Source organism: Homo sapiens, chromosome 7 (assembly GCF_000001405.40).
Source record: "Homo sapiens chromosome 7, GRCh38.p14 Primary Assembly".
Taxonomy (NCBI): domain Eukaryota; kingdom Metazoa; phylum Chordata; class Mammalia; order Primates; family Hominidae; genus Homo; species Homo sapiens.
Genome location: NC_000007.14, coordinates 21,552,180 through 21,560,042, shown reverse-complemented (window position 1 = coordinate 21,560,042; position 7,863 = coordinate 21,552,180). Strand labels below are relative to the sequence as shown.

The window sequence follows — 7,863 nt, the reverse complement described above, 5'->3', positions numbered from 1 at the left end:
AGTACTGCTCTTCCAAGGTAGCACAATATTTCCAATCATCTCAAATGCTGTCAAAATATTCTCAGAAAGGCAAAGTTACTTTAAATTAATGTCAAAAGTGCACACCACACACACAGAACTCTGGATTAAGAAAAGAGGGCAGACCAGTAAATTATACAAAGACAGTGTGTTAAATCTTTAAAACTATTGGTCATTGCAGCTCAGGACACTTTGCTAATTTAATTTATAATTTCTAGGGCTATCTACTTACTTGATCATAAATGCATGACAGATTTTCTCTCCTCATCATCCAGAAATCTAGTTCTGCTTGAGGAGACAAGTGAAGACCATTCAACAAACGCTGCACTGAATCTCTTTCTATAATTTCTTGGATTTGATGTGACCATTCAATAACCACAGATTCAATTGCATGAAGTATTATCCTTTCGTTTGACGGTGGCCTACAAACATTAAGATAATAAAATAATTCAAAGATGAATCATTTTATCCAAAGACATAGACTTTAATAGTTATTTTAGGCATCCATAAACTAGTTTCCTAAAAATAAATTCTTGAAAATCCATTATTTTTATGGTCTTGATTTGAGTTGTGGGGTTACGTTATTCTGTCAGTGACATATCTCTAACCTCAAAAAACACTGTTAAAGAATTATATCCTCAAAAACTATTTTACTAAAGGAATAATGTTACTGGCATGGCAATTACTACAGTTTGCTTTTTGTATAATTTGCTTTTTAAAAGCATACTTTAAAAGGAAATAATTCACATGGTGTTTCTGCACTTATTTTAAAAATATGATGTAGCTGTAATTCTCTGTTTGCTAATGGGTTTGCTAGAGGTGTGATATTAAATGGGTATGCTCACTTTCCATTTTATTTTATTTGTGGAGATGAGATCTCACTATGCTGCCCAGGCTAGTCTTGAACTCCTGGGATCAAGCAACCCTCCCACCTCAGCCTCCAAATTGCTGGGATTATAGGCATGAGCCACCGTGCTGGCCTGGCTCTCTACTTTAATATCCTGTATATATTGTACTGTTACGTACTTGTTCTCTGAACAATTCTGATCCAGATCCATCTTTCCTGCAACAGTGGGAATTGGTAGAAGAGTTCTTCTAGACATTTTGCCCCTAAAAATATACATCTTCTTTTTCATGACTTCTATGTGATATTCCATATCTTGTGAAGTAAAACAGGACCAGGACTTATGGTTGTTCTTATTAGAAAGAACTGGCACTAAAATCTAGAGAAAGAGAAACATAGTTAAATTAATTTACAGACAATGCATTCCTTCAAAGATTTTCTTGTCGTACAAAATTGGCAACAAAACTGTCCAATTTCATAAATATCCAATGATATCAAATCTACAAAGAGAGGATAAAGTCAGTGACCCATTTAGATTTAATCAATTAGACATAAATTCTGTCAAAGTGGAATTAGCATACTGCTTGTTCATTCATTTACCCATTTATCAAACATTTGTGGAGGTTCCCAATAACTCAAACACTGCATGAAATAAGCAGCTATGTCAAGTAGGTAAACTGCCCTCATGATGCAAACTGAGCACACTGGCAGGCACATTAATGAAAACAATCTTTCTGAATCATATGGAAGCTAGAAGTAAATTAATCTTCTCAAGCCCTAGGTGGCATCCCAGAGGATTAAAGTTTGGGTAGTCAGAAAGATGTTTATTCAGCCACATGGACCTTATTCAGAACTCCTTCTACCATGAAACGGGAAACATCAATGAAACTATGTGAAAACTCTGAAAAAGTATTTTTCCTATTTCTAGAGCCTGGCATATATTATGTAATTAATAAGAGAATGCTGCATTAATGAAGTTGGTCTCTTCTTGCTTTCCCTTCAAGTATCTACTCATTTTAAACATTTTTTCATTTTTCTGATATAATCTATATATAATCTGTCCAGTTTATAAACATTTTACTATAAAACTTGAATTAGCCAAAATGCTCAGAAAATGTTTATTCTACCTTTTTAGAGTTTAGTTTGACAATACAATCTTCTAGTTAAACAAAAAGCTGAAAATTCACTTTCATTTTTGAATGGTGTTCAAACAAATGTCTCCAAATATTATTATTACCTTTTCCTACTTAGCACCCATTACATGTCAAGCTAGTAATACAGAGATTAGTACAAGATAGTCCCTGCCCTCAGTGAGCTCAGTAGGTGAGATCCTGGAACTATGACAGTCAAGATAAGAACTGCCATGATTAGAGGTATGTCCAGGATGCATATGAAAACACGGGAGAAATATCTGCCTCTGGGAGAGAATGGTATTAAGAAAGACTTGCCAGAAAAGTTGTTACTTGGTTTGAATCTTTAAGATGAAAGAACAGGGCAAGGCAGGTGTTATGGTGTGAATATGTGTCCTCTGAAAATTCATATATTGAAATCCTAACCCCCAAAATGATGGTATTAGGAGGTGGAGTGTTTGGGAGGTGTATTTGTCATGACGGCTGAGTCCTCATGAATGGGATTAGTGTCTCCATAAAATAGGACCAACGGAGCTTGTTCGCCCCTTCCACCATGTGAAGACATAGCTAGAAGGGGCCGTCTACAAACCATGAAGCAGCCTTCAGATACCCGAATTCACTACTGGCTTGATTTTGAACTTCCAGCTCCAGAACTGTGAGAAATAAATGTCCAGTATTGATACACCATCAAGTCTGTGGTATTTTGTGATAGCAACCTGAACAGAGTAAGACAACAAGCATTCCAGAAATTAGAACACTGATAAAAATCATGGGGACTCAGGGAGTATGGTGCTTGTAGGAAACTGCCAGTTTGACCATCCTGGAAATAGAGCCAGTACCCCTGAGAGAAATGGCAATACTTGGGCTGTGAGGACGGCACGGGTAGTTTGTGAAGAACTCTGCAAACAGGCTGAAGAGTTTAGGTTTAAGCAAATTAACACAGGAACAGAAAAACCAAATACTGTATGTTCTCACTTTTTTTTTTTTTGAGACAGAGTCTCACTTTGTCACTGAGGCTGAAGTGCAGTGGCAAGATCTCGGGTCACTCCATCCTCCATGTCTCCTGGGTTCAAGCGATTCTCCTGCCTCAGCCTCCCGAGTAGCCAGGATTACAAGCATGTGCCACCATGCCCAGCTAGTTTTCGTATTTTAGTAGAGACGAGATTTTGCAATGTTGGTCAGGCTGGTTTCAAACTCCTGGCCTCAAGTTATCTGCCCACATTGGCCTCCCAAAGTGGTAGGACTACAGGTGCGAGCCACCGCACCTGGCCATGCATGTTCTCACTTATATTAATAACTAGGAGCTAAACATTGAGTACACATGGGCACAAAGAAACGAACAACAGACACTGTGGCCTTCTTGAGGGTGGAGGGTGGAAGGAGGGTGAGGACTAAAGAACTGCCTATCGGATACTATGCTGATTACCTGGGTAACAAACTCTCTGTATACCAAACTCCCATGATGCACAATTTACCCAGGTAACAAACCAGTACATGCACCCCTTGAATCTAAGATAAAAATTGGAAAGAAAAAAGTTTAGATTTGTTGGGCTGAACATGCATTACCTACTGGGAGACTGTTTTCTAGATTAAATCCTTGATATCAACAGCTTTTTCTAAAAGTCAGGCTCAAAGAAAATTAAAGTTATTCAACATTTCTAACGTACTGGGTACTGTTTCAGACTTCACTCTATTTACTATTCTGAGAAAACATTTTAAAGGGTCCATTTTTGAGGCATAGTAAATCTAAATACTGGCAGCCAGCCTGCAGATGTGACAAATCGCACAGCTCATGCACCTAGAAAGTCACAAAAAGTGAACAGAATGTAGAGAATGGGTCAGCCCCTAAAAGGGAGGAAAGTTTCACTGTTGGAAAATCGAAACTTAAGCAGAGAAAGGGACCAGGGTATAACCTTATAAGGGGGATAATGAAACTTAGGCACCGTCTGTGAGAATTGTAACCCCATAGTACTCAACTAATGAGGAAATGGGGGAAGAACTTGCATGCTAGGAGATAAATGACCTGCTGTAGCTGCCTCGGGTGTGCCTGCCTACCAGACACCCAATCTTGCAAGACCGCCATTAAAAGTCTTGCTTCCACTGTTCTTCATGTCTCCAAGTCCATTCTTTGGGTTCGGATGGGTAAATGTGTTTCTCACAAACTTGGGGGCCCGTCTGGGATCTCTGTGCCTGTGCAGAGAAGGACTCCAGTCGAGAGCAGAAACACGTCCCACAAAATTTAAGTGGCCCACTCTATCCAGGCGTCCTGGATCCCTGCAGAGGCCATAAACAAACCCAAGACTTATTCAGGAGGCAGTGGAGGCAACACAGGGAGAAAAGCAGGCACCATGGCAACCAGGCAACGTCATGCACAAGCCAAGGGAGGAAAATTGGACTATAGGTACTGCCTTGGTGGTTGGGCATTTTCAGAGGTCAAGTGTGTGTAACTGAGATATAACATAGATATGAAGCAAGTGCGGAGTTCGAATCCCAATCCATAGTTCTGTTCTCCCATGAGGGAAATGTCCAGAGACAGGCAAAGCAATTGGGGTGTGCAAGAAACCTCCAGTAGTTGGGGGTTGAGTACACAGGGAAAAGCTTGGACACAAAGACTGACCAAAAATGGGAGACAGAAATTCTAGGCCTATGGGCCAAAGGAAAGAGGGAGCCAAAGAGACTCCCTCTGACATTCCCCCAGATAGTCCTTTGGGAAGAATGAGGTTTGGAGTGACAACCCTTGAATCAGGGACAAGGAAAGGCAAAAGATGATAAAGCGTTGCTGTTTATCTAGCCTAAAGACCCCATTCGTAAGCCTTTGGTCTTGTGGCCTAAGTTTGGCTCAGATAAAAATTGGGTGTACCAAGCTTTAATTCTCTATGTGAATGATAAAACCCCATCCTCACAAGAGGAGATGGGCTACACTCTCTGCTGGATCAAGGAATTAGCCCCCATGTTCCCCTTCAAAGAAGAAAAGAAGCCTAGTAAAAAGTTCCTGCCCAGTGAAAAGCCCTGGGACCCCCTATCATCCATACCCCCTCCATGTGTCTCACAAAATAGGGGACAGGAAAATCAAGGGGCAGCAGGAGGGTTAGAGGAAGAAAGACCTGCAGACCATGGCAGAGTCGAACCAATTGCTCCTTTAAATCCTTATCCAAATTTGAGAAAATAATTAGAACAGTGTAAGAGGGATATTGAGAACTTCCCTATCCCTTCCACACAGCAGACATCTAGCATATTCCCTCTTAGGGAAGCTCCCATAGACAGGGAGAGACTGGCTTTGTAAATGCTCCTCTTACAAGTACTGAAGTTAGGAATTTCAAGAAGGAAATGAAACCACTTCTAAAACATCCCCTGGGTTTAGCAAACCAGCTGAACCAATTCCTAGAATCCAGTTTTTATACCTGGGCTGAAATGATATCTATCACAAGTATCCTTTTCACAGGAAAAGAAAGGGGAATGATTAGGAGAGGGGCCATAACCATCTGGGAGAGGTAACAACCTGCTGGGCAAGACGTCTTGCCAGCTGAACAAAAATTTCCAAATGTCAATCCCAAACGAGATAATAATGATCCCAAGGGGCCAGGTGCAGGGCTCATGCCTATAATCCCAGCATGCTGGGAGGCCGAGATGGGTAGATCACCTGAGGTCAGGGCCTCAAGACCAGCCTAGCCAACATGGCAAAACCTCATCTCTACTAAAAAATACAAAAATTAGCTGGGCATGGTGGTACGCACCTGTAATCTCAGCTACTCAGGAGGCTGCGGCAGGAGAATCACTTAAACCTGGGAGGTGGAGGTTGCAGTGAGCCAAGATTGCACCACTGCACTCCAGCTTGCGCAACAGAGTGAGACTTCCCCTAAAAAAAAAAAAAAAAAAAAAATCCCAGAGAACAGACACAAATGCAGAACCTCAGGGAACTAATAATAAAAAGGATCAAAAAGTCCACTACTGGGACACAAAAGGTCTCAAAGGCATTGGAGATTCAACAAAAACCAAAAGAGGAAACTTCCTCCGCATTCCTGCACAGGGTCAGAGACTAGTTAAGAAAATACTCCAGATTAGATCCAGAGGACCCAGTAGGGCAAGGCCTTTTGAAGGTTAACTTTGTAAGAAAGAGCTGGCCTGACATTAAAAAAAAATTACAAAGGATTAATGGATGGAATGAGAAACCAATTAAGAAATTACTAAGGGAGGCTCAGAAGGTCTTTGTAGGGAGAGAGGAAGAAAAGCATAAATAAAAATGAAACTCATGGTTCCACTGTGGAAGAGGTAATCAAAAAAAGGTTAGATCAAGATCCTCCTTGAAGGAGACAAGGCGAATGACAGATTTCGACACAAAGAAAGAGGTGAAATACATGGAAAAGCTCCTAAGACTATGAGGGGATGTTACAAGTATGTAAAGCCAGGGCATTTTAAAAAAGAATGCCCTAAATGGAAAAAAGAAATGGTGATCCACCTCATGACCGTTGATGAAGACTGTGGGGGGAGTTCCTTCTGAGTAGGTCCCACCCACCAGGAATCCTGAATAAATCTGAAGGTGGGACCCGAGGGAGAAGAAGTGACATTTTTGGTTGATACTGGTGTGGATCCCTCCTCCCTAAGTCACCAACCAAGGGGTACAGAACTCTCTAAGGAAAAATTGATAGTGTCGGGTAAAAGGGGAGGGATTTCAGGTTCTGATATTCAAGAAAATGTTAATTAGATTGGGACCAAAACAAACTGGTCACTCTTATATGTTCCTAAAGCAGAAACTAACATCCTGGGTCAAAACATGATTGTGGGATTGGGTTTAGGATTAGGAATAAAGGAAGGACAAATAAAAGTAATAATGGGCCTCCCAAAAGAGGAGGAGGAAAGAAAATTAATCACCTTGTTTGGGTTAGAAAAGGCAACAGGGGAGGGTTAAAAATCACACCCTTACAAATTAAACTAAAACAACCAAGAGAAGTAGTTTGCAAAAAAAAAAAAAAAAAAAAAAAATCCCATTTATACTGAAGGGAGAAAATATCACCAGCTAGTAATAAAGGGATTAATGAAAAATGGACTATTAAAACCCTGCATGTCACCCGTACAACACTCCAATTCTCTCAGTCAAAAAGCCTAATGGGTCGTTCAGATTGGTGCAATATCTAAGGGGTATGTATCAACTTGTCCAGACCTACCACCCTGTGGTGCCTAACCCCTACACCCTCCTCAGTAAGATACCCTATGAACATAAGTGGTTCAGTGTGGTGGATCTAAAAGATGTATTCTGGGCATGTCCCTAGACTTCAGGAGCAGAGACCTCTTTGTCTTTAAATAGGAAAATCCTATTAACTGGGAGAAAATAATGGTACCGCTGGACTGTGCTGCCACAAGGTTTCATGGAAGCCCCAAATGTATTTCGTCAAATCTTAGAAAAGGTCCTGGAGAAATTCCAACCTTCCAGGGGAACCCAGTTGTTATAATACACAGATAATCTTTTAATTTCTGGGGAGAAGAGGGCCGAGGTATCAGAAACCACCATAAGCTTACTTAATTTCATAGACGAATGGAGATTGCAAGTCTCTAAGAACAAATTGCAGTTTGTAGAAAAAGAAGTTAAATATTTAGGACACCTAATTAGTAAAGGGAAGCGAAGAATAAACCCGGAAAGAATATTGGGAATAGTGGGTCTGCCTTTGCCTAAGACAAAGAGAGAACTCCAAAAATTTTTAGGTTTAACTGGCTACTGTATGTAATAAATTAACTCATGCTCAAAAAAAGATTCTGTATCTCAAGTTACTAGAAGAGAAACCCGACCCCTTGCAATGGTCCCAAAGGAAATTCAGGCAGTAAAACAGCTAAAGCAGGCCTTCATTACAGCCCTGGTCCTGGCCCTCCCTTCTTTAG

The 7,863-nt window shown here is 40.7% G+C and overlaps 1 protein-coding gene across 1 annotated transcript in view; it reads right to left on the bottom strand.

Annotated features, from left to right (window-relative positions):
* The window catches only part of DNAH11 (dynein axonemal heavy chain 11), a 358,801-nt gene that overhangs the window by 341,797 nt on the left and 9,141 nt on the right, over nucleotides 1–7,863 (bottom strand). The window contains exons 3-4 of the mRNA NM_001277115.2: nucleotides 1,045–1,241; nucleotides 251–440 (exon numbers count right to left, since the gene is read on the bottom strand). Of these exons, the coding sequence (NP_001264044.1) occupies nucleotides 251–440; nucleotides 1,045–1,241 (387 nt within the window). The remainder of the gene's footprint in view (nucleotides 1–250; nucleotides 441–1,044; nucleotides 1,242–7,863) is intronic.